This window comes from Homo sapiens, chromosome 17 (genome assembly GCF_000001405.40).
Source record: "Homo sapiens chromosome 17, GRCh38.p14 Primary Assembly".
In the NCBI taxonomy this organism is placed as follows: domain Eukaryota; kingdom Metazoa; phylum Chordata; class Mammalia; order Primates; family Hominidae; genus Homo; species Homo sapiens.
This window is the reverse complement of record NC_000017.11, coordinates 33,138,905-33,165,599: the sequence shown is the minus strand read 5'-3', so window position 1 is coordinate 33,165,599 and position 26,695 is coordinate 33,138,905. Positions and strand designations below refer to the sequence as shown.

Genomic DNA, 26,695 nt, shown 5'->3' with positions numbered 1-26,695 from the left:
TGGGCTGAGCCCATTTAGAGAATAATCAGATTCCCCTATCCTTAACAAACCCCCTCTCAACAAATCTTTGAAACAACTACAGCCTGTATATTCACAAATATATGCATACACACACACACACGCATGCACGCACACACACACACACCCTTAGAAGACAGCCCAGTGCTTAGAAAACCCGACCCAAGACTGAGCCATTCTGTGACTACCCAGCTCAGGCCTTGGTTTTCTCTTATAAGCATTGAGGCACTTAGACTATACCAAGTCAGAGTCTCCCATAAAGTTCAATATTCTGCAAATCTCAGCATGGCACAGCATGACTATTAGCCCCTCCCTGCTCCTACCTAGATGCCTGAGTCCACAAAGGGGAAAGCCCAGCTCTTGGGCCAGACATGACCAGGATTGGTAGACAAACATCTGGCACAGACCTCCTGGCACAGGGGGTGCCCATCCAGAAACTCGGGGTCCAGAATAGGATCCCAGGGCCATGTGGGGCCTCCTGAGCCAGTGTCCAGGTTCTATGCTAGGGATTTACTTAGTCTCTGTTGTCCTTACACCTCAAACAGCTTTTAATACATTGAAGATGATAGAAATAGCAAGAAGAACCAAGATGTACACGCTAAGCAGAGAGGAAGGGAGGCACGTGAATCAAAAGGAAGGGTGGAGAGAGCTGGCCAAAGAGAGAGAGTGGGGCCCAGATTGTCATGTTGGAGGTTAGGAGTGTGTCAGAGAGAAGGTATGGCCAAGTGACCAGCTCCTAATGATAATGGGATACTAGGGAAATTTAGACATGGGCAAGGCAAGGGGCATTCTGAAGTCCTTTGCCTTGGAAGATCACCCACGGGCAGTTCCAGGACAGGGCCTGACTCCAAGGAATTCTTGACAAGTGGGTTATGATTCCAAAGGGCTCAATTACAGGACATAGCTGCTGGCAAGCAAGCCTTGAGCAAGCCCCTGCAACAGTCGTGTTTGCATGCGTGCATAACCATGTGTGTATAAGTGTGTGTGTGTGTGTGTGTGTGTGTGCGTGCATGTGCTTTTGGGACAGCTGTTTCCAGAGAGCCTGGTGAGCTCTCTACCCCTCCAATGCCGCCTCCATTCCTGCCTGAGGTTTGAGCCAAGAGGAATTGGGTCAGTGGCTGGAGGAAACTCTGCATCCAATTACCCGCCAGCAATAACTCCTGCAGGAAAGACCTTGGGGAGCATTAATGTTTGAATCACAGGGAAGAGCAACTCCAGCCAGAGCTCAGGAAAACAGCAATTCATCAGAATCCCAGAAAGATTCATGAGTCGCCTAAATATAGAAACTGTCATTCTGCCAAAGGTGAGGTGAGCTCTGTATCAGCTGTCAGCACAGAGCATGGGGCAGGCCAGGAAGAGAAGGGAGGGGATCCATTGACCAGACGCACCCTTGGGGCTTGGACAGGCCTGGGCCAGCCCCAGGTAGGGCAAGAAGACTTGCCAGGAATTTGGAACCCAGGACCAGGCGAAGCAGCAAAGTGTGTCAGCATGGGCTTTATGGCAGGACATGTGTGCTTTGGGATCATAATTGTGGGACATTGAGCAAGATGCTCAGCCTCTCAGAGCTCTCATTTTCCCGCCTATGAATTGAGGTCATCCGCAGTAGTTGTCCCTGCAGTGAAGACTCAAGGATCCTCCCACCTCTACCTGGGCTTTCCTCAAAAATGTTTGAACAGATGCTCCTTCACCCCCTTTAGATCTTTACTCAAATGCCGGCTTCTCAGTGAGACCTCCCCAACCACCTACTGAACACTGCAACAGGTCCTGCCATTTCCTGGTCCCCATCCTTGTCTTGGTACTTTTCCCCACAGCACTTAACATCATCGGATATATTACATGTCATATTGGACTTGTTTCCTTGTTGGTTGTCTACCTCGCTAGGATGTGAGATCCACATTCTTACATCTGTTTTATTCAATCCTGTATCTCCTAGAGCTAGAATAGTACCCAGGATCTAATAAATGTACAACGAACACTTGTTGAATGGATGAGTGAATGTGACAGCGTGTCTGGAAATCACTTGGCATCGTATGCCTGGCACACACGAGTGCCTAATGAAGGTCAGGTCCCTTCCCCTCCCCCATCAGCAGTGGCAGGAGGTGGGTAGATGACATTGGGTAAGGGGTCAGCCTCATGAGAGGCAAGCAGAGGTAGCATAGAAGGGTCTCAGAGTGCAGGCAGGGGCTGGTGCAGATGCTGAGATGTCAGTGCGGGGCACTCCAGGCCCACAGAGAGGCAGGTCAGAGAGTCACTCTGCAGGAAGTGAGGCCACCTCTAGGACAGAAGCTAACAGGAGAACTTATATGATTCCTCTCCACCTAGAAGGTCATGCTGCTGTTTCTTTGCCTTGAAAACTGCTCCTTGTCTTGGAGACGGCCTAGGAGAGCCCTTTCTAACACTCAGATTCCCTCTCCATGATCTGCAGAGTTGGGGCTTTCCCCCACCAAGTCTATCCAGTGGTCCCCTTCAAGTTCTCAGACCACCCCCTACTCCCACCCCACCAGAATGAGCACCCTGGGGACAGGACTGTGTCTGACTTGCTTCTTTGTCCCAAAAGCTTAGCCCAAGAACAGGCCAGTAGACTCTCAGTCAGAGTTCAGTGCAGGAAAGAGAAACAGCCATGATCACTTTAGGTATAAAAGGGATTCATAAAAGGAAATTGAATGCTTACAAAATTGCCAGAAAAGACGAAGGAGTGTGCTTCAGGTTGTGTCTTCAGATGAACCACAGAGTGACCTACAGAAGCTGCCCTCCAGGGGAGCTGCTACCAGGAAGGAAGAGAAACAGGAGCCACGGCCCCCTACCTACTCCACTCACCTTTAGACACCCACAAAAATAGCAATTAATTTGTGAAATGCATTCCCAGTCACTGGAATTGACATTCAATAGTGAGCCAAGTCCGAGTGTGAGACAGTTTACCCAATAACTAGAGCTGGAGCATCAGGTCTGAGCTGGCCCTGAGGAGAAGTGGCTGGAGGAGGGCAGACACATTCCAGAGTGGGGATCAGGGCTCAGCCTACAGCTGGGAGTGGGGTGAAGCCAGGGATTCAGTTGTAGACAGGAGGGGGCTGTGAGGAGCATGAACCCAGGCAAGCCATTTCAACAGCTGACTTCCAGACAACATCCATATTTGTTGCTTGTTTAGGAATTTTGCCCTGTCTGATATCACTTGAAAGAAATGGGCCACCTTTCTGGGGTGGGGCAGATGTTCCGTGCGAGGAGATTTATGTGGCGATGCTTTTTGGCCCAAAACGCTGAAACAAGTGTCATCTGAGCATCCCTTATTCACCTTCACAGGGTGGCCGCAGGATTTGCTTCTCAGTTGTGCCTAATCAGGAGCTCATTGTATCTGTATCCCCAGGAGTTACAGCCTCCAAGGGGCAGGCATGGGGTGGAGGCTCATATTAACCAAGCTCTCACAAAAGACTGGAGGATAAATAGAATGCCCAGTGATTAGCTTTCCTTGGAAGAGATGACTGCTAGGCAACATGAAAGAGTCACGTCAGGTGGTCAGCACCTTCTTCTTTCAGCAAGATGTCCTTAGAAAGCCAGCCTAAGACCAGATGGTTGCTTGATGGAAGCTGAAGGGATCTTGGTTATGAGAACGGCTAGTGTCTTTACCTTATGCTGATCTCAGGTCCCTGTCTCTCCCCTGGTGAAGCAGTGTGGTGTACTTAAAAGCACAGTTTTGAAGCAAAAAAAAAAAAAAAAAAAAAAAAAAAAACCTAGGAATTCTGGCTTTATTACTTATTCACTGAGAAAGTCCCTCATGCTCCCTGATCCTGTGTGCAGAATGAAACCATTATACCACCTCCTGGGATCCTAGTGAGGTTTGCATAAAATGCCGTGGGGAAAGACCCCAGCCATCAGATGGTAAAAGATATTTGTTGAACACATACTATGTGCCAGGCACTGTTCTAGACTTCAAGTATATTTTTGTGAACAAAGCTGAAAGAATCCCAGCCCTCAAAGAGCTTACATTATATTGGTGGGAAGCAGAAAATAAGCAAGGAAATAAATAAAATATTTGAGAATGGATAAGTGCATTAAAGAAGATAAAATACAGTGATGTGGAAGAGTGTGATGGTGGGACAAGGTGGAGATATGGCTTTAACTAGGGTTGGAGAAGGCCTTTCAGAGAAGACAAACTTTGAGCTAAAGCTTGAATAGTATTAAGCAGACATGCATGCAAAGGGCAGGGAGAAGAAGCAGGAAGAGCAGCACGTGCAAAGGCTCTGTAGTGGGAACAAATTAGGTTTGAGAGGAAAAGAAGGTTAGTGTGGCTGGAGCATATAAAGGAAGACAAGATCCTTAGCACACTGCCTGGCATACAGTAGGTGCTCTATAAACCTTAGTCCTCTTACTCACTCCAGCAGGAAAGACTAAGGTATGCATGTTAGCCATCTCCCCCACCCTTTCTCAGCACAGGAGACAGCCAATTCCTGATTCTTTCACCCTGGAGCAGGCCTTTATCTTCTATTATAACAATAGATGCTGCTACTTCTCTAATGGTGATTGTATTCTAAGCTTGTGTTGAGATTTAGGAAACCCCTTCAATGCTGCAACAGCCCAGCTCCAAGCTGTTTCAGGTCTCTGCTGCTGATGGCTTAATCTCACCTCCTTTATGTTGAATTTACTAGCTTCAGTTTCAAAGGAAGGTGTTTTCTGTCTTTGCCCCAGTTGTCCACCCTAAGCACACTTGCTGAACAACTCAGAGGTGCAAGAGCTGAGGTGGAGGACCAGGGCATGAATTGTCCCAGGGCCTCTCCCCCCGCCATGAACAGCACTCCACAGGCCACAGAGAAGCTTGCAGTCTGTTTGGAACCTGTCAGTGCCTCCCCATCCAAACCCCATCCCAGCCATCTTCCCATCAACCAGGCAGGTGGAACCTATCAGAGGGGCATTCCTGCTCTGTCCCACCTCTCTCAGATGTGTTTTAAAGAAATAGCAGTCTCTGCTGCCAAGCCACTTGCAATGGAATGGGAGAGAGGCTCTGCCCATGCAGAACAAAGACAGAATGATCTCCAAGTAGCCTAGAAATGTGTAAAAAGCTGCTTTGGACTGCCCCACTACACAGTGGAGCACCAATGAAGAGGAAGAGACTGTCAAGGCAGAACGTAAGCACAGAGACACTGAGGTTAGCCCTGAAGGTGGTGTTGGGAATAGAAGGACTCTGCCTGTATGCCCACAAGTCTTGAGTTCAGAGTTTCTACAACTCTGAGACTCCATTTTCTTATCTATTAAATGGGCATAATAATGCCCTGAGAGGTTCCAGGTGGGAGTGGGACATCAGCTCTGGAACCTAAAAATATTAACAATAATCATTATTCACTGAGCATTTTCTTTTCTTTTCTTTTCTTTTCTTTTTTTTTTTTAACAGGGTCTCTCTCTGTCACCCAGGCTGGAGAGCAGTGGTGCGATCTTGGCTCACTGCAGCCTCCACCTCCTAGGCTCAAGCAATCCTCCCACCTTAGCCTCCCAACTGGCTGGGATTACAGGTGTGCACCACCATGCCTGGCTAATTTGTTTATTTTTTGCAGAGACGAAGTTTCGCCATGTTGCCCAGGCTGGTCTCAAACTTCTGAGCTCACGCGATCCTCCCACCTTAGTCTCCCAAAGTGCTGGGATTACAGGCATGAGTCACTGCACCCAGCCTTTCACTGAGCATTTTCTATGTGCCAGGCATTGTGCATGCTATGTGAACTGTCTTACCAAATTTTCCCAGATATAGGAGGTCGGTGCTATCATTATCCTCATTTTATAGCTGGGGAAATTGAGGCACAAGAAGATTAAGTAACTCATCCAAGTCACACAGTTCAATATAGTAGTCTGACTATAGAGCCACAACTCTTATGCACTACATAAATCTACTTCAAACCAGCCCCATATTGGAAGATCCAGGAGGAAACTCTAACCCAAGAGTGGGCAATTTCAAGGCACTTTCGTTAGGACCCAAAGTCCTCCATTGAGAAAGGGAACTGGCCTAGGCAGGTCATGTGGCGTGGAAGAAGCCCAGGCCAGGTAACTAGGAGGACTAGATTTTAGCGACCGTGTATGAACTCTGATCCTTTACTTCTCGGAGCCTCAGTTTTCCCATCAATAAAACGGGAGGGAGAGGGGAGACTGATCTAGAACAGTGTCTCCCATCCTCTTTGACCACAGCCCGCTTCACCAGAGTAAAATCACTCACAGCCTCCTGCTCATCTGTCCCAGTATTTTAGCAAAAAAAAGAACTCAGAGATAACATGAAAGTGTTACAGGCAGACGATTTTGGGGAAAGACTAGAGAAAGATTTGCCTTAGGAAGGGAGATAGATGATGCATCGTTGAAGTGCAATGCATACATGCCTTAAAACCCAGCCATTGAAAAATCATAAGCCCAAATTACTGTTGTTAAGCAAACAACCCACAACAAACTAAATGGGTAATGATGAAACTAAACTAATGGTAATTTATCATTACAAAGCAAGAAAGGTGGCAGCTGGAAAGCAGCAGCAACTCAAGACAACACTGCCAATGCTCTCGCTGGTAACCACGCACATCCCCAGTCACTAACTCAAACTCTCAGCTGGGCTCAGGTGTGGTGGGGGTGTGGCAGTACCGCCCAATTGCTTGGCATGCAGACTTTTGTGCTAGAATGCCAAATTAAAGTCTTCAGTAAACTCCAGCAACACATGAATTCCATTTGTGAGTATCGATGTTTAGTAAATTTCTACACCTCACTTAATTACAAGAGTTGACCTTTATTGAATGCTAACGCATGCCTGTCCCTATATTAAGCTCTCTGCAGGCATCTGGAATCTTCATGATGCCATAAATAGGTATAAGGATTGTCTTCATTTTACAAAGGTGGAACAGAGAGACTGAACGGCTTGCCCGAAGTCACTCATGGGTGACAAGTAGTAATATCGGGTTTTGAACTCAGACAGTTTGGCTCCACAGCCTGCGTTTTATAGGTTGCTGAGAAGTAGGCTTGGTAACAGGTAAAAATTATTTGGCCATGCCAATCACTCTCCTAAAAGGACAGAGGATTTGCATTATTGGATTAGTTCAGAGCCCACCTGGAGATCTTTGGCATTCACAGCGATCCACAGACCAGGGCCCAGCAGTTAATACTCCAGGGACCTCCTGAGCCATCCCTTCATTCACCCCCTAGACCAGTAGGGGAAATCCAGCAGCCCACTGGGAACACCTCTCCCCAACCTTGTCTCCCAAGTTTTTTCACTAGCCGCTGCTCAGAAGTCATCTCACCTTTCCCTTGAGGGGGTGGCAGGATTCACTCATTCATTCATTCATTCATTCATTCAAGTATTGCTGAGCACCTCCTATGCGCTAGGCATTGTACAAGGCACCTGGGATGGAGCAGTGAGCCAAAGAGATGAAGATCTAATCACAGAAGACAGACAATAAACAAATCAGTAGGGTTATACTGGTAGGATACCAGATGGTGATGAGCACTACGGAGAAAAAATAAAACAGGAGAGGAGGACAGGGTGTGCTGGTGGGTTCATTTCCATTTTAAACAGGTGACATTAGAGTCACCCTGAAAACCACGAGGATGGGAGAGCAGAAAGCCATGTCAATGCTGGGGGAGGAACATTCCAGGAGGAGGGAACAGCAAGGGCAGAAGCCTGTACTTGGAGAGCTTTCAGGAAAGCAGTGTGAGCCCCTGGGGAGAAGTGGTAGGTGATGAGCTCAGAGAGTCTACCTTTTGCAGGGCAGTACAGGCCATGGTGAGGATGTGGCTTTGACTTAGAGTGGGATGGAAGCCATGGGAGGGCAGTGTCGGGGAAACGTTATTAGCACTCCAGCTGCTGTGCTGCAAGTACACAACATGGGTAAGTGCAGAGGTGGTGAGACCCACCATTATTTCAGGTGAGATATGGAGGTGCTCAGACCAAGGTGGGAGCAGGGAGGTGGCAACCTGCTTGCATTCTTGATATGTCATAAAGACAGATTCAGTGGGATTTCCCAATGGGTTAGATGTGGGGTGTGAGGGAAAGAGAGGAGTCAAAGGTGACTCCAGGATGTCTGACCCAAGAAACTATAAGGATGTAGTTTACTTATAATAAGCTATTTACTGATGTAAGGAAGGCCACATGTACAGGAGGCAGATGAAGAGTTTTGGAATTGGACAGACTGGGCTTGGCTTGTGGCTCTAGTACTTAAAGGATACATAGTTACTTAACCTCAAAGAGCCTCGGTTTATTCATCTGTAAAATGGGCATCACGGTGCCTATCCTACAGGGTTGTGATGAGATCAAAGAGATAAGAGATGTAAGGCTGGCCTGAAATAAAACTTAGCATCATTTCCTTTATGACATCATTCTTGGCCTTCATTTTGTCAGAAGCCCTGATTGGTTGGTTTCCCTGGGGGTGTCTAGAGTTGGACAAGCAAGGTAATGAACTCTCATTTCACTGACCAGGGAGAGGGACACTGAGGAGGGGAGTGCTGGGGGTTTTTTTGCCTTGACCACGTGCCATCTCATGAGTTAGTTGCAGTCCCTGAGTCCCCATCCTGACCTCTTGGATCTCAGCCTCAGTAACCTGCCTGGGACCCCCGCTGCTCCCAGAACCACTATAGCCAGGCTATATTTCCCAAGGCAAGGGAAGGAAAGGGTTGAACCAGCATTGTCTGAGCATGTCAAGAGGCTCAGGCAGTGGTTCCCAGCCCTGACTACCTAACAGAATCACCCAGACAGCTTTTTAAAATCATGATATCCAATATTCCCTTCCTCCCGTCTCCCCAGTCTGATTTAATCAGTTCTGGCTGCAGCCTAACCCAAGCACTGATTTGTTTGTTTGTTTGTTTGTTTTTGTTTTTTTTGAAATGGAGTCTCGCTCTGTCGCCCAGGCTGGAGTGCAGTGTCACAATCTCGGCTCACTGCAACCTCCGCCTCCTGGATTCAAGCAATTCTCCTGCCTCAGCCTCCTGAGTAGCTGGGATTACAGGCCCATGCCACCACACCTGGCTAATTTTTGTATTTTTATTAGAGACAGAGTTTCAACATGTTGGTCAGGCTGGTCTCAAACTCCTGACCTCGTGATCCACCCACTTCAGCCTCCCAAAGTGCTGGGATTACAGGTGTGAGCCACCACACCGAGCCAGCATTTACTGATGATTATTTTTAAAAGCTGATCATTTTTAAAAGCTCCCTAAGCCAGGCATGGTGACTCATGCCTAATCCTAGCACTTTGGGAGGCCAAGGTGGGTGGATTACAGGGTCAGGAGTTCAAGACCAGCCTGGCCAAAATGGAGAAACCCTGTCTCTACTAAAAATACAAAAATTAGCCAGGTGCAGTGGCAGGTGCCTGTAATCCCAGCTACTAGGGAGGCTGAGGCAGGAGAATCACTTTAACTGGCAGGGCGGAGGTTGCAGTGAGCCAAGATCATGCCACTGCACTCCAGCCTGGGCAACGGAGTGAGACTCGGTTAAAAAAAAAAAAACAAGCTCCCTAGGTGATTTTGATGTGTATCTAAGTTTGAGAAATTCAGAACCAAGTTATGATTTTGTCCATCTGACAGATTTTAAAAGCTGTGTGAGGCCCAGAGAGGTTAAATGATTTCTCCAGTCTCTCAGCTGCTAAGTGGTAGAGCCAGAATTCAAACCATGGTAGGTCTGACCTCAAAGCCTGTAATCCTTCCACCACATTAAATTGGGGCCTTAAGTAAAAAGTGCTTACAATGCACTCAAGTAGTACTCTGCGGCTCATTAACTCCTTTACAGAAAGGCTGTGGAGGACCGGGTGCAGTGGCTCACACCTGTAACTAGCACTTTGAGATCACTGGAAGTCAGGAGTTGGAGACCAGCCTGGCCAACACAGTGAAACCCCATCTCTACTAAAAATACAAAAATTAGCTGGGTGTGGTAGCAGGCGCCTGTAATCCCAGCTACTCGAGAGGCTGAGGCAGGAGAATTGCTTGAACCCGGGAGGCTGAGGTTGCAGTGATCCGAGATCCTGCCAGTGCACTCCAGCCTGGCGACAGAGCTAGACATCGTCTCAAAAAAAAAAAAAAGAAAGAAAGAAAGAAGAGAAAAAAGAAAAAAAAAAAGTAAGGCTTGTGGAGGCAGAAATGGCCAAAGAAGCCTCAATCATCAATGTTAGGATGTTCCTGGTAAATGACAGCATACATCTAAAGGGGTTCAGAAGTCAGAAGTATCTAAAGCTATTCAGAAGTTAGAAGAGGAAATGGATTCCCTGCACAGATGCTCAGTTTCCAGATGGATGCGCAGACACCTGTGGAGCAAATCCAAGAGTCCTGGCATCAGGAACCCTTGCTGCCAGCCCACAGTGCGCCCACCCGGCGCTTGAATCAGATAAGCGAGATAAGGATTCGTTCAGGAACAGCCGTGGTCAGCCAGCATTTATTGAGCACCCAGCCAATGCCAGGTGTGGGGTTGGGCGCTGGGCTCCTCGATGCGTTACAGGCTCCTTACAGCAAACCCACGCAGGCACAGGCCCTGTGGCTCTCTATGTTGATTGGAAGTCTTGGGACTCCAGCTGGAGCTGCTGCTCTCACAGGTGCTGCTTGGAGAAAAGACGCTGCCGCCGCCGCCAACAACTCAGCACCGCGGCGCAGGTGAAAGACAGCCCAGAGACTGGAAGCTTGGCCTTCAGTGTCCCTCAGCGCAATTAGAAATGCAAATACACCACACAATAATTACAAACAAGTTTCAACTCCTCTTCCAGCCTCACAAACCACCTGTTAGGAAATTAAAAAGGATTTATTTTTTAATTAATGTGACAGTAATTAGCAGAAAGTTCAGAAGCTTAAAACTAGGCCTGCATGGGAAGGTAGGCATTGAATAAAAAGTGCGATTTTATTTTGCAAAAAGCTCCAAGCATGTTTGGGATTCAGCAACTGCTCTTCTCTGCCTCCTTAGTTACCTACAGCTGTGTTTGGAACACACGGCCAAGGTGCGTGTCTTAAAACCAAAGAGGCCTGGTGGATAGAGGGCAGGCATTGGACTCAGTAGGCCTAGGTTTCATTCCGGCATGGCTACTGTGCTGTGTGGCCTGGGAAAAGTTTCTTAACTTCTCTGAGTCCTAATTTCCTAGGGCTAATACCTGCTTCACCAAGATTGGGGAGATAATAACCATAATACCCATCTCCCCAAGATTCCCATGATATTGTTGGGGAAGCATTAAGGGGGATATGGCAAATGCCCTGCTACCAACTTTTTAAAGAATGAAATAATTTGTTGCCATGAAAGTATTAGAATATATAGACACAGCATAACATGGTGGCACATGTCTATAGTTCCAGCTACTCAAGAAGCTGAGGCAGGAGGATTCTTGAGTACAGGAGTTTGAGGTTGCAGTAAGCTATGATCACACCTGTGAATAGCCACTGCACCCAAGCCTGGGCAACATAGTGAGACCCTGCCTCTCAAAAAGATAACAATAATAAACAGAAGTACATTGTCTGAGGTTGGGTTTGCTGTAGGATCCTAGTTGCCCAGGACTGTCTTGGTCCTACATCTCAGGCAAACTGGGATGCCTGGTCACCCTAGTTCCCAGGAAGCAGACCCTGAGGTAGAGTTCAGTCTGCAGGATGTTCATGAAGGAGCACCCTTGGGACCAGAGGGGAAGGAAACAGGATAAGCAGAGTGGGGAGAAGTCAAACTGTGATTTGCCAGACCCAACAGGAAACCTTGCCAAACCCGCAGGAGCTCGGATCTCAGTGGCCCTTCAGAGCTAACCCAAGTTGGGCCAAGGTGGCCAGGCCCCCCAAATTCACATGGATCAAGAGTGGACGTGGGCTGTCTCTGGAAGGAACAAGATCTTAGGTGGAGCTCCTCTCTCTAGCCTAATGCAGTCCCTAAGGGAGCTGATGTCACAGACCTCTGCTGATAGCAGAGGGCAATAGGTCTGTCTTTCCTTGAAGGGAAATGGGATGAGACATCAGTGTTCACCATAGACATGAAATCAGCCGCATACCTGGGAAACATATATCACTTAAATTGTGAAAGCATAAACCCTGCAAAACTGTCGTCAAAATAGTAGACGAAAGCCCACCATTACTGCACCCAAGAAACCAGACACCATGCCTCCCTCCCACTTTCCAAAGACTGGAATGTGTTCATGAGTGTAGAGACCATAGTAAGCACTCAAAAAATAAGTAAAGCACTTCCCTAGATTTCCCCCACTTCCTCATGTAACTCTTGAGTTATTAGCCTGTGATCATATTGCCCCCAAATCATGGAACCAGATCTTCCTTCCCAAGTGCACTCTCACCCCTGCAAATAAAGCCAATCTACATCCATCGCTCCTTAAAGTGGAGTGGAAGCCTGGTCACCCCAGAAAGGACAGGGGAGGAGTTAGCTGGCAGAGCATCGGGGAGAACCCCACACTGGGGGCCCTGGGTGCCCATGCTGGCTCTACCCCCACCTGGCTATGGGATCTTGGGAGGGTGCTTCAATTCTGAGACTGTTTCCTCATCTCTGCAATGGGGATGACCATCCCATCTGAGTGCTACATGAGTTACGCATAATAAAGAGCTTTACGAGCCTCAAACTCTGGAAACTGAGAGGAAAAAGAAAGCCAGGAAGGGGCCTCCTGGGAGGAAGTAGCTGCAGCCATCCAAGCCACAGGCACAAGATTTCTTCTCAGGAAGAGAAACCCCAGGGGTGACTGAATTACCTTCCGGCCTCGGAGGGGAGGGTTTCTATTGCTCCTCTGCTGGGTTCGATTTTTCAACCTTATTTAATTGGAAATTTCCCAGTGGAAAGTTAAAAAAATAAATACCTTGTATGCCTTTCTTTTCCGTAGTACTGCCCAGACCACGTAACATGCTAATGTGCATTGTAACTCACCAGGAAAGGGATGATGTACAGGGAATTCTGTTTTATTCTTTCCTCTGAGGCTCTCCCCAGTAGCAGAACTCCCTTTGGGAAACCCAGGTCTCAGGAACAAGTCCAAAGCCCTGAACATGACACTGAAAACCCTCCATGTTCCATGTGCCAGCCTCCCTTCCTAGCACTCTCTCTCCCACCTCCCTGTGCACACCTTCTGTCCCAGGGACTGCTCATTCAGTCTCCCTTGCTCACTCCTACATCTCTGCCTTTGTTGTTATCTCTCCCTTCCTGTTGCTTTGTTTTGCTGTTTATCTGAATCATTTCATCCTTTGAGGCCAGACTCAGACCGGCCTCCACCTTGAAGCTTTTCCTGGTGCCTCATCTGTAGGGATCTCCTCCACCTCTGAAACACTAGAGCACTTGGCATTCACGACCTTGCAGCATGAGGCATCTTTGTGAAGGCATCTCGACTCTTTGTAGAAGTGTGGGCTCCTCATGCTTCCTGATACTCCCTCCCATAGACCAACCACATTGTGTCTAGTATGATCGAGTAGCGCTTCACTGGGCAGTGGGAAGAGCAAGTGCACCACCAAATCTGTAAGACGTTGAACCTCCTTGAACTTTGGTTCCTCATCTGTAAAATAAAGATAATAATATTATCTACTCCACAGGATTGTTTTCAGTACTAATTAAGATGGTAGAGGGAAAGTCTCCAGAGGAGATGACATTAAATGGTAGACCCTTAATCAGTGTTAGCTCCCTCCTATCCCTTTTTTGCAACAAAAGGCATTTCACAAAGGGGAAACAACATTTATTAAGCAACTCTCATATATGAAGCACTTTACTTACATCTTGGGCTTTAGAATTATGACTTAACACAGGGTGATTACTCCAGAAGTGTCTTAGCCCATTTTGTGCTGCTATAACAGAATACCTGGTAATTAATAAAGAACAGAGATTTATTTCTTACAGTTCCGCGGCTGGGAAGTCCAAGGTCGAAGAGCCTGCATCTGGCAAGGCCTTTCTTGGTGCGTCATCCCATGGCAGAAGGAGGACAGGCAAGAGAGCACACATGAGAGGGAGCAGGGAAGTGGGGTGAACCCATCCTTTTATCAGGAACCCACCTCCGTGATAACTGACCCACTCCCACAATAGCTTCATTAATTTATTCATGAGAGCAGAGCCCTTGTGACCTAAACACCCCTTAAAAGTCCCACCTCTCAACACTGTTGCATTGGGGATTAAGTTTCCAACGAATGAACTTCTGGGTACACATTCAAACCGTCACAAGGACCATCATTCTAGAAATGAGGAAACCACAAGAGAACTTTCTAAGGTCACGTAGGAGTCAGTGGCAGAAATTAAAGCAGGAATGACTTCACTCTTTTTTTAACCTTTTTTTTTTTCTTGAGACAAAGTATCTCTCTGTCGCCCAGGCTGGAGTGCAGTGGCGCTATCTCGGCTCACTGTAACCTCAGCCTCCCAGGTTCAAGCGATTTTTCTGCCTCAGCCTCCAGAGTAGCTGAGACTAGAGGTGTAGGCCACCAAACCTGGCTAATTGTGTGTGTGTGTGTGTGCGCGCGTGTGTGTGTGTGTGTGTGCGTGTGTGTGTGTGTTTTAGTAGAGATGGGGTTTCACCATGTTGGCAGGCTGGTCTCAAACTCCTGACCTCAAGTGATCCATCCGTCAGCCTCCCAAAGTGCTGGGATTATATGTGTGAGCCACTACACCCAGCATTCTTTATTTTTTCCTCCAGATGGAGTCTCGCTCTGTCACCCAGGCTAGAGTGCAGTGGTGCTATCTCAGCTCACTGCAACCTCCACCTCCTGGGTTCAAGCAATTCTCCTACCTCAGCCTCCCGAATAGCTGGGATTACAAGTGCCTGACACCACACCCAGCTAATTTTTGTATTTTTTTTTTTTTTTTTTTTTTTGAGACGGAGTCTCGCTCTGTCGCCCAGGCTGGAGTGCAGTGGCGGGATCTCGGCTCACTGCAAGCTCCGCCTCCCGGGTTCACGCCATTCTCCCGCCTCAGCCTCCCAAGTAGCTGGGACTACAGGCGCCCGCCACTACGCCCGGCTAATTTTTTGTATTTTTAGTAGAGACAGGGTTTCTCCATGTTAGCCAGGCTAGTCTCAAACTCCTGACCTCAAGTGATCCACCCCCTCAGCCTCCCAAAGTGCTGGGATTACAGGCATGAACCCCCACACCCCCAAGAAAGACTTCACTATGATTTAAAAAAGAACTTATTGCTTATCAATAATAAGACCTTGGAATAAGTGATTATTAGTAGAAGCTAGCCTTTGGTTTCCAAAGCTGTTCCAAGAAGAGAATGGACAACATCTTTCCAGGAGGATTTGAGCATTCCTTTGGAGGCAAAAAATCAAATATTCTGACTCCTGTAGTTCTAGAATGTTCTGTGATTCCCTGAACAGCAAGTAGGGCATCCGTGCCAAAGAAATGTGCACCTGTACTGGGCAGGTGGTGGGAGGGAATCTGGTGTCATGATAGGAAATGAAATCCATTTGTCTTCAATTGTCATCACTTCTCAGTAATTAACTGGATGCTAATGCCTTAGATGAAGGTTCCTCCAAGCCATAATTGAACTTTAATAAGGTGTGCATGGAATTACAGGAAAACAAAATGGCAATCTGAAGCTGAAATGTCAGGAAAGCTGTGTGTCAACTGCCAACTCCCTAAACTTGAGTAAGAAATTCATTAATACCTGAGAGCTGTCACAGCTTTCAGAATTAATGAGCATCTGAACTTATTCATGCAATTATCTTAAAATAATTAGCAAGCACCCAATTCATTGTTATGAACCTCATGAATTATCTGGAAATGTGAGGGTATCCAAGGAAATGTATCAGGACTGTTAGTCTGGTGCCTGTTCCTTCAAGAATGGTACTTTCAAAAGAAGGTGGGAAAGACAAAAATAAGAAAGGAAGAAAAGGAAAAGGGAAAAATACAATACAGATGGCTAATTAAAATATGAATAAACTTTCAACCTCACTATTGATCAAATAAATTAAAAATTAAAATAATAGTGATGTCCCATATTTTACTTAACAAATTGGCAAATTTTTTTTTCAATTTTTAAGTCAAATGCTGCTGAGATTACTATGTGAAAGACACTCATGCAATAAATGCAGGAATATAAATTGGTATGAACTTTCTGGAAACACCTATCAAAACATGAGTTTTCAGTCACCTGAATGTTTATTAAGCATCTACTATATACAAGTCACTGTGTTAGTGTCAGAGAGGCAGCTGCAAATCTGACGTAGCCTCTTCACTCAATGATGAAAGAATAGTCAACTTCACTCAAACATTATGTAATGAGTACATAAATTATGGTCCACCTACAGAAGAACATAGTTTTATAATGGCTGAAAGTTATACTTTAAAAAACTATTCAGGGGCATAGGAAAATACCCATGTTTTAATGCCAAATAAAAAACACATAGAAACAAAGTTTGTAGTTCATATGTTAGAAAAAAAGACAGCTGGAAAAACACCAAAACATTATGATTATTGCTATGTGTTGGGATTACAATAATTTTTTGTTTTCTTTATGTTTCTATATTTCCCATTTTTCTACAAAACAAAAATCTGAAACTGAAATGTCAGAAAAGATATATGTCAAGTTTGTTTTTTGTTTTTTTGTTTTTGTTTTTGTTTCTTTTTTTTAAGACAGACTCTTGCTCTGTCACCCACGCTGGAGTGCAGCAGCATGATCTCAGCTCACTGCAACCTCCACCTCCTGAATTCAATCAATTCTCCTGCCTCAGTCTCCTGAGTAACTGGGACTACACGTGCCTGCCATCATGCCCAGCTAATTTTTGTATTTTTAGTAGAGATGGGGTTTCACCACGTTGGCCAGGCTGGTCTTGAACTCCTGACCTCAGATGATCCGCCTGCCTTGGCCTCCCAAACTACTGGGATTACAGGTGTGAGCCAGCGCACCTGGCCTCAAGTTTTTATTTTTTATAACAACTTTTTATTTCTTATTACTTTGATACAACTGTTTTATTATGACTTTTATAATTAAAAAATACTGTGAGCTAATATTTTTTGAGGTCTGAGCAGGACATCCATCTAAATGCTTTCTCACATCATCTTTTAATTTTCATAATAAAGAAGTATGGAATTTATTATCATTCTTTCCATTTTACAGGTAAGAAAACTGAAACACAGTAAGGTTAAGTAAATGGCACAGCCATGGTAATGGCAGAACTGAGGTTGAAACCCAGGCAGTTTGACCTCCGGCCCTAGGATCTTAGTCACTGTGCACTTTGGAAATGATGCATTGATACCCAAGTGTGCTTCTTCTCGCACATCCTAATGTTTAGGTGAAAGGAATCATGGTAGGATTGAACAAACCTTAAATGTGAAGTTGGGTGACCTTGATTGAGTCCTGGCTTTGCCACTTCCTGTGTGACCTTGGGCAGTTCATTTCTCCTTCCTGAACCCCAATTCAGTTACCTGTGGAATGAGTTTAATCACTGCTGGCTTATGTGGGTAGCATATGGTATGTGTCAATGTTTCTTTGTGCAGTATGGCATTCACTAAAAGCATAAAGTCTGCTTATCTCCCTGTCAACCTGTGGGACAGATGAAACGGCACAGAAGGTGTGAAGCACCTTGCTAACTGTGCTCCTATTATATACTGACAAGGCGTTGTTATTATTACTTTACATTTTAGGGATGCTTGATTTGTTGTCTTAAATGAAAAGCCTGGTTCTACTCTGGTCTTTGCCCCTCTCCAGGCCTCACTTCCTGCATCTGTTCAGTAGCGTGAAGTGTCCTTGTCTCCAAAGTTCACCTGCTTGGATATTGCAGGATTCCAAGTGAACATACAGAGCTATGCATCCCGGTCCTCCAGTCTGTGATGAAAACCAGCGCCCACAGCACGCAGCTCCAACTTGGAGAGGGAAGCCCCTGAGTAGGAGCTAAATTGGGGTCCACAGGCTTGTTGCAAGCATTTAAAAGTGATGGATGTGCCACGGTCAATAAATGTTAGTCTCCTTGCTTCCCCTGCATGCCAGCTGAGTCTAAGTTGGCACTGGCCCGGGATTTCACTGTAGTGTGGGGTCATTTTTGCTCATTAGAAAAATTATTAGCAGATCCTCCTATGGCACAAACACAGAAAGATTATTTTACCTCCTCTGTGCTGCTGCACCGTAGTCCCTCTAGGACAATCCTGCTGTGTCCAATTAAATGTAAGAAAAAAAAAAGATACTGAATTGAAACTTGTTAGAGAGAACAACACTTCCTCTGGCCCAAACACTGGTGTATATTAATGTTATCAAAGTTGCAGTTGTTTCTATTGAGTAAGACAACATCAGCCCACCTGTCTTTCTAGACTTAAGTACCAGCTGAACTTGTATGATGTCTTTTATCAAACAATGAAAATTGTTTCTCTTTTTTGGACATTGGCTATCAGGATATTTGGATCTGAATCCACAATGCACATACTGTTACTAGCTCATCTCAAATGTTTGCTTCAACTGGTTTCTCTCTTCTCTTATTTACTTTTTAAGTCTGCTTTTTTTGCAGTTTTTACCATCCACTTTATGTGTTCTAAAATATTTAAATTTTCACAGGTTTCTACAATGATAAAAATAATAGCACTCCTGCCATCTACCCTATTCTTGTCATATTGTCCAGTTTACCTAGCCTTACCCAGACTTGATAGTTATTAAGTTCTTACTTCAGATGTGGAATAAAAATAAGCAAGCACATTTTCCAAGTAGGGGAGTATAGTTCTTTAGAAGATATCAAGGAGCAAAATGGAAACAGCAGCAGTGAAAAATAGAATTACTCAGTTTGACCCGTTGATTGACATTAGCACAGGAAAGTGGCTCAGGTTGGGTTTGCTATGAGCTGATTTCCCCCCTGAGAATGACTGAAGTAATAAGAGCTCCCAAGCAGATAGCCCCAGGCCTCTGGCATTTATCATGTAACTTCTAGGTCCTTCCAAATGCATCCTCCTCCTTCTCTCCTTCTGGCCTAGGCCTCGGCTGTTCTTTGCAAACCAGCCAGCTGAAAGCCAAGGTCGAGCAGATGAGGACACAGGTGTGATGCTGTCTTCTGCCGGCACAGAGGTCTCCGAGCTCCAGAGGCATGAGCTGGGCACAGATCTTTCTGCCTGATCTCCACAGGATGCTCTTGTCTTAGCTCAGTTCAGGCTGTTTGGCTGTGAGCAAACTAGGAGTTTGGTTTCTAAGAAATATGATCTGAGTGTTACCTATTCAGATTCCAGAGCCAACCTGTTTCCTAGTTTTTGATAGTAGGAAGTTGAGTCAGAGCCAGGTGCCCTCTGGGAGGACCTAGAGAATAGGTCCGCAGCCAGCCAAGTGGGCTTCAAACCCCACTCTGCCACCTTGATTCTGGGATGTGGGCTACCTTCCTAACCCCTCCGAGGGTCAATTTCCTCATCTGTAACATGGACAGGTAAGTTGCTGTGAAGACTGAATGAGAGAAGATGCTTTCCAAGCCCCAAAGCTAGAGCCTAGTACCCAGTGGTATTCATTTAGTTGCTCATTCATTCAACTGTCCTGTGGGTGGTAGCTTTTCCCCCTTTCCTCATTCTGCTGACTTCCAGGGATTCGTCATTGACTCTGAGGAGGCGGGAAGTTGAGCTTCCTGTTCTCATCTCTGTCATGAAATATAGCACCTGCCTGGGGCCATTGAAGAATATTTCTGAGACTAAATTAGAATCTGCTCAAGTGACTAAGATAGCGGGTGCTAAGAGCAGGAAATGTTTTGAAGACACTATTCATTCTGAACACTTTTGCCTCCACCTGGCCATGGATCTCCACTGGCCATGTCTCTGGGTCGGCTGTGGCGGGAGGGTGAGGGAGCTCCACTAAGCATGGCTTCTTGCTGCTCAGGGCACAATTCCTGTGCCCTGTGCCCTTGCCACCAATTCTTTCAGCAAGTCATCAAGAGGAGAAAGCCTCCTGCATAGACAGGTTGACTATTTGGTCATGGGGCGAAAGGAGTAACCAGCATTTTTAAGCACCTATTCTTCCAGGTACTTGATTATCATGTCATTGAATTCTCCCAACATCTTCAAGAGTTAAGGATTATTCCCTCATTTTCATAGATGAAGAAATTGAGATTCAAAAAAAGTTAAAATAAATCACGTATTGTCAGAAATACGGAAATAGGTAAGGAATTTGAAACAAAGGCTATTTAATGTTGGAAATATCTTATGCATGTGTTAGAAGTCTGAAAAAGCCAAAAGAGAGCAGTGAGGTAACCTGGAGATTAATCTCTGCAGGAAGCCATTGCCACCCTCTAGGGCTGGGCAAGGAAAGGGAAGAAATGGTGTTACTACGATCTAGTCGGGAGGTGATGCCAGGCAGTTGCTAAAGAGATTATGGCATGTAGCCCAATAGTTGCTCAGACCGCAGGCAGGGATGGCAGCCCAGAGGACGAGGTGCATGGCAACGCTGGTGCTGCAGTGGTGCCAAGAATGCCAAAAGAAACTGGAGTCTAGGACCATCAATGTCCCCTGATGCCAGAAGGGTGCAGACCTGAGCTGGAAGCTGGTAGAGGCTGCCTTCCCCAGTCCACCCAGGCCTGCCAGTCTCCTGGGAAGAGGGAACCAGAAAATATAGTTTGCAGAGTCCTGGCCCCACCATCAAAGAAGAACATAGAAGGGTTTGAAGCTGAGAGACTATGTATAAATAGCAACCCCATATATTGAGTAAGAAGGGAACTGAAATGCAACTCCAGTCTACCTCCTGGAGGAGAGTAAGCACTCACGTGGCACCTGCTCTGCACCAGGCCTTGTACTAGCTCTAGGAATGCAGAGCTGAATAGGAGACAACCTTGATTGTCATGGAGCTTCCAGGCCAATGAAAATGAAGGAGCAATGACTCAGATCGGATTCATCCACTACTTGTCTGATTTCCATAGTATCTTCAGGAGAGTGAGTTTTCTGGAAGGGTAGGGGTCTAGGTACATGTCCTAAAGTCATGATAGATACCCATATAGTGGGTGTCCCAGCTCCCCAACCCTCATGAGCTCTGGGCTCAGTGCACACCACACCTTCTCCTCTGGTTATGTCAAGTTTCTCCCCCAGGCTGCTTCTTGTGGGCCCAGAGGTTTTCCACCTTGGAATTATGCATCGGTCACCCTAGGCAGCCCTACATTTTCTTCCTAAAAACACAGGGTATTAAACCCCTACTATTTAAATTAGGACTCTCTCACTTACACATAAGAGAAATCTAATTCTAACTGGCTTGGGTAAAGGGAGGAGTTTATTGGAAGAATGCTAGGGTATCTCACAGGGTTCAAGTGCTGTTGAGCTCTTGGAAGACTTGGAAGCAGGATGGAGTGCTGTAGGGACTCCACTTTTGCTTTTACTGCTCACAAGCACCCAACTCCTTCCCATCCCCTTCTCTTCCCTATCCCACCCGCTCTCTCTCTTTCTCCCCCACTCTTGTTCTTTCCCTCTCTCACCATGGGCCCCCTCTTCTGCCCTCATTGCACAGGGACAAGACAGGGCCAGCCATATTCCTGATATTACTGTACATTCCATGTTCCCAAAAAGAAACTGAGCAGTCTCTAAACCTGTTTTTTTGTTTTTGTTTTTGTTTTTCGTTTTTTTTTTTGTTTGTTTGTTTTTTAATTCCAGAAAAGTAACTGATTGGCCCAGCTTGGATGAGGTGCCCACCCCGGACCAATCACATGGCTCAGGAAAGTAGGGTCTTATAATATGACTATTGCCCAGGGGGAGTTGGTTCCCAGAAAATGGAAGCCTTTCCTAGAAAGAGAAGGGTTGGGCATCAAGTGGGACCATATTATACCAGACCATGTTTACTACACTGAATGATGCACCACACTGCATTTAATCTTTCTCCTATTGTTGGACATTTCTTATTGCAACTTTTTTAAAGATTGTAGATAATGCTTCAGTACATTCCTTTATGCATACATCTTTTCCATGGCTAAGATTGTTTTCTTCAATTACATTTCCAGATGTGGAATACTAGCTTAGGGTTGGATTTTTTGTTTTATGGGGGTTTTTTTGGAAAAATTGGATTATCCAAATGCCAATACTGATTTTACTATCGTTGCTATGGAAACTATTTTTTCTGTTGCTAGGCAGTTGGTAAAAGATTCGGTAGTATAGACTAGTAAAAAGACATAGACTGTCTGTAGAGACCAACAGTCAGGAGTTAACTCAGTTGTTAACTGGCTCTGTGACCTTGGGCTGCTTGTTTGGCCATTCTGACAATTTTCTATTCTTCCCAAAATGGGGTTAATAATAGCTTTTCTAACTGGGTTATTTGAAGGATTAGGGATAATATATGAGAAACAAAAGCAACTCTCATGGTACCTGGCACATAGTAGGTGTTCAATAAATTGCACTTTTAAAACTACATGTGAAATGCTTTAAAGGGTGTAATAATTACTTTTCATCATGAGATTAATACTATTGAAAATGAGCAATTCCTAGCTCCCTAGAATGCAAAAGACTTTAGCACACCTCAAGTCCAACCTATATTTGTCCCTAAATGTGGTCCACCTGAGATATCTACATGTCAAGATATCTACATTTCACCTGAAGCTAGCATCCATGATCTAAGAAAGACTCAGCGGTCTAAGCAACCTACCTACACTGCTATCTCAATTATTGACTAGCATCAGGTAGCATGCTGGCAGGCTTTGGAGTCACATGCAACAGGTAGAACCAATCACATCCTTCTTTGGGTCACCCTGGGACCCATGTTTTCTTCTCGCAGCTCATCACTAAGCCCTTATTGAGCTTTTTGGTTTATATGTGGAAGAAGGTAGGGAAACATCCATGATTCAGTGTTCTGGAAGACACTCAGCCCTAGCCTTCAGGACCATGGACAGTGACCAACCCTTTCATCTGGCCACACCAACCACTCAAGGAAATTTACCATCTACGGGATACATATAGAGGGTGGTCACCACATCTAGAAACATTGACAAATACATAATAAATAGCTTATTGCTGGTATGTTCAGACACATGATAAAATAATACCTATATTTCCAGTGAGGCCCAAAGGAGAAGGCAGTCAGTTCTACCTGAGTAGAGGGTGTGGTCATGGAACTGAGTCTGAAAAGTTAAGTGGACTAGTGAGGGACTTAACATTCCAGCCAAGAGAACCATATGCCCCAGAGCCCCATACCAGCCTCACTTGTTCTTTGTGCTTTCTGTGCTCTGTCTTCTTCAGAGAGAGAGAACCTGCTCTGCATTGCTGAGGACCCCTGGCTGGGTGTGCATTGACCTGCTATGAGTTCAAATTCTCAGAGCAAGAGTCTAATCCTTTATAAAAGAATACAGCTATCCTTTGAAGACAGAGAAGGGATCTATAAATGTTCAGAAGCAGCTGGGTGATAAGAGTGGATTCGCCTCTGCATGGTGAATCTTACCTCTCTACTACCTCTTTTATCACAACCAAATACTCTGGGCAGAAATGCTACTTCTCAACACCATAAAGAGTCCAGTTAATGAGCTGGGTGTCTCAAACATCTGAGCACATCCTCTCAAAGCTCACTTTTGAGTCCTTACTTTATTTCATTACCTTCCCCATTCCCAAGATAAACCTTGCCATTCGTTTATTTATTAATTCATTTAATTACTATGTATGGAGCTCTCAGAATGTGCCAAGCACTGTGCAGAGTGCTGAAAAAGCAACAGAGAACAAACTCCTGGTCTTTGCTCTTGAGGGGTTTGTAGTCTAATGGAGAAGACAGATATTTATAAAATAATCTTACACACATAAATATATGCCAATAGGGTCTGCAAACATAGATACGATTTCATTTTGTAACAAATTGAAGATGTCCTTATTGCTATTTTGTACATTCACCTAAGTTTTCAGACTTCATGGACACCCTGTATAGTTACAGATGGTGTTTTTAAGAAAGCACAAGTCACTAATGACTGAGGTTTCATGAGGGTAAGAGGTTCACGCATGGAAACATGATGAGTTAACAGCAGAGCTGGGAGAAGCTCAGGTCAACCTCCTACTCAAGCTCTTGACCTAGAGCTCAGAGTATAAATTAATGGACAAGAGTTGAAGCCCATGTAATGGGAATTATATCTGCTGGGAGCTACCGCCATCCCTCTAGGAACCCCTTCTTCTCACCCTGGAATCAGCTCTTCCCTCTCTGTCCTTTGTCTTCTGGGAAGCCTTACAACACCAAAGTGTTTGGGTCAAACCCACAGTCACAGTTCTGATACTAACCTGTCACCGGGTGTAGCTTAAATCACAAGTGTTTGCTCTGTGCTTGAAGGAATGGAGGCCACTGAGTGAGCATTTAGTGGGACATTTTATGCCGCTTTTCCTTGCCAGGAAAACCTACTCCTCCTTCCTCTCCCCAGTTTTCCCCCTGAGCAGAATATAAATCATTTTAACTATCTTTATTTAAAACCCAACAACCTGTAAAAGAAAGCTGGTTGCCTTCTGCTTTTTTACTGCTTACAAAGCAAGGGGCAGAGCCCTCAGGGCTGCAGGAGCCTAGAGGCTGGGAGAAAGGGATGCTCTAGATACTTTCTGGGACAAAGATCACAAGCAGCCTTCACCCTTGGGGAGGAGTCCTTCAATCTGGTGATGGAGATATGGCCCTGCCCAAGAAACCTAATCTGATGGCTGCCATAAGAGGACTCACTCTCTGATGCGAGAGACACAGCTCTGTCCTTGGAAAGCCCCTAGTCCAATGAGGGAGACAGGCGACTCTCTTTCTTTGCAAATGAAAAGCTGCAACTCAGAGCCCCCAGAGCTCTGCAGGAGCCCACTGTGTTGCTCTGCTCAGGCTTAGCTGCCCCATCCAGGGCAAAGGCTGTGCTCATGCTGTGTCCATGTCTTGTGGTTCTGTCTTGTGGTTCTGCCTTGTGGCCCGGATGGAATGTGCCCCAGGGGAGCCCCATTCACTGAGGCAGCCCTGGCTGGGCTTAACAGCTAGTCCAGCATGCTTTTAATAATGCATGTCTCACAGAGCAGCTTATTTAACTTTAATAGTCCTGCACAGGGAGCCGTGGGTCTCTTTCAGGACAAGGCTTGGGCTCTGGGGAATTCAGCAAAAGTCTTACACTTGCTGCCAGGCTTCCCAAATCAGGTCCCCTGTGGGTTTCAGTCCAAACACACCATGTGACGTGACACCCACCTTAAACAAACACAGCAGGTCTCTGGCCCCTTGGGTGGAGGAAATAGCTTTTCATGGGCTTGTACAATGTGGCAGCTACTTTATGTATATATATTTCCTGCAATGCTAACCACAGCCTTGAGATAATTGCTGTAATTCCCATCATAGAAAGGAGAACAATGAAGACTCAGGGAGTCAGGCAATTTACCCAAAGTCACATGGATAATCAGTAGCAGAGCTGGGGTTCAAATACTGGTCTAATTCCAAAGCTCCTGCTTTTTCCACTACACCATGTTGCTTCTCCGATGTACTCAAAAATTATCCCAGCACTGGGGAGTGGAGAGAAGCTGCCCATACACTAGGCACAAATCAAGTCTTCAGAGCATGTGCAGTGGGTCCAAGCAGCCAAAGGGAGAGGTGGGAACACAATCTGGGAGTGCCAGCTACCATCACAATAACCAGAGAGCCTTAGACTTCGGGACTCACCTGAGAAGCTTATTTAAAGCCCAGATTCCTGGGCCTTATTATCAGAGAGTCTGGTTCAGTAGCTCTGGGCCAGGCCCAGGAATCTGTATCTTCTTACTATCCCCAGGTAGTGCTGATGCAGCTGGCCCCCAGAAGACATTTGAAAAAACACCCAAATAATCCCTTCTGTATAGCACATTCTCCTTTACGAATCCATGTACAACCCCGGCAGGTAGATGGGGCAAAACGTGTTAGTCCCATTTTAGGGAAGACTGAGTTTCTGTACCGTGAAGGGACTAGCATTAGAACACAATAGCTAATGGCAGGACCCAGGCTGACACTCATTTCTTCCTGCCTCCTAGTTCTGCACTTATCCAAGCTTGCAATCTTGTCTCTCCGGGGAAAGAAGGGAGGGGAAGTATACAGGTACTCTTCAAGGCATGGCCCATGATAGGGGTGTCTGGGAGTGAGTCTTTGAAACCAGGGGCCCAGTCTGAGAGACCAGCAGGAGGGGACATGCTGCTGCAGGGAATGAAGGGGACTTTGGCAGCATCAGCAACAAACCAGCAGAGAGCAAGGCTGAGAGCCAGGGGAACCCCAGTAGCCCAGATAAGAGATGTTGGGGGCCTGGCCAAGGTGGTCACTGAAGTGTGGGACAACATCAAGGAAAGGGTTGTGGGGGGCTGTGCCCAAAACAGTGTTGCCCACAACAGTCACCAATTATTGGATAAGCAAAAAGGGGATCATATTTAGCAAATTCTGGACACAGAATGGACTGAAAGATTTTTCCAAGAAAATTTACTTTGGGCTTCAGAGAAAGAATAGATCTGGGGAAGGGACTGGAAACAGCTCCATCCTCACCATGTTTCACTCCAGTCAGAAGAGGGGGCTGGCCTCAGGTTGAGAGTTTAGGGAGGTAAGTCCAAGAGAGATAACAGGTAGGCAGGAAAGAGTCTGTCCCCAGCATATAAACTAACAGTCCCAAGGTCAGGGAGAGGTGACATTGCTGGCAGCCCTGGAATCCAGGGCAAAGATGATGGAAGAAGGCAAGAGCTTTGAGGAGACTCTGACAGTCAAAAGCCATGGATGGTGAGAGCTGGAAGGAGGTTTAGGGATTGTCCAGCCCTGCCCTCCCACTTTACAATTGAGGAAAATGAGGCCCAGACATGAGAAGTGCCCCACCTAAGGCCACATGCCAGGGTACTGAATTCCAGGACTTCTGATCCCCAGGCTGGCACTACTTCCAACCCAACCCAGGGCCTTTCTCTAACCACTTCT

The 26,695-nt window shown here is 46.0% G+C and overlaps 1 protein-coding gene and 1 long non-coding RNA gene across 4 annotated transcripts in view; one reads left to right on the top strand and one right to left on the bottom strand.

Moving 5' to 3' along the window:
- The window catches only part of ASIC2 (acid sensing ion channel subunit 2), a 1,143,682-nt gene that overhangs the window by 991,169 nt on the left and 125,818 nt on the right, over positions 1-26,695 (top strand). The gene's annotated exons all lie outside the window — the stretch shown is intronic.
- ASIC2-AS2 (ASIC2 antisense RNA 2) overlaps positions 13,370-26,695 on the bottom strand; it is a 40,225-nt gene continuing 26,899 nt past the window's right edge. The window contains exon 3 of one of the 2 annotated variants that reach the window (XR_934686.3): positions 13,370-13,451. This is a non-coding gene — a long non-coding RNA (ASIC2 antisense RNA 2). Of the gene's footprint in view, positions 13,452-17,216; positions 17,302-26,695 lie in introns of those variants that run through there. The other variant, XR_001752836.2, reaches the window with a different exon arrangement.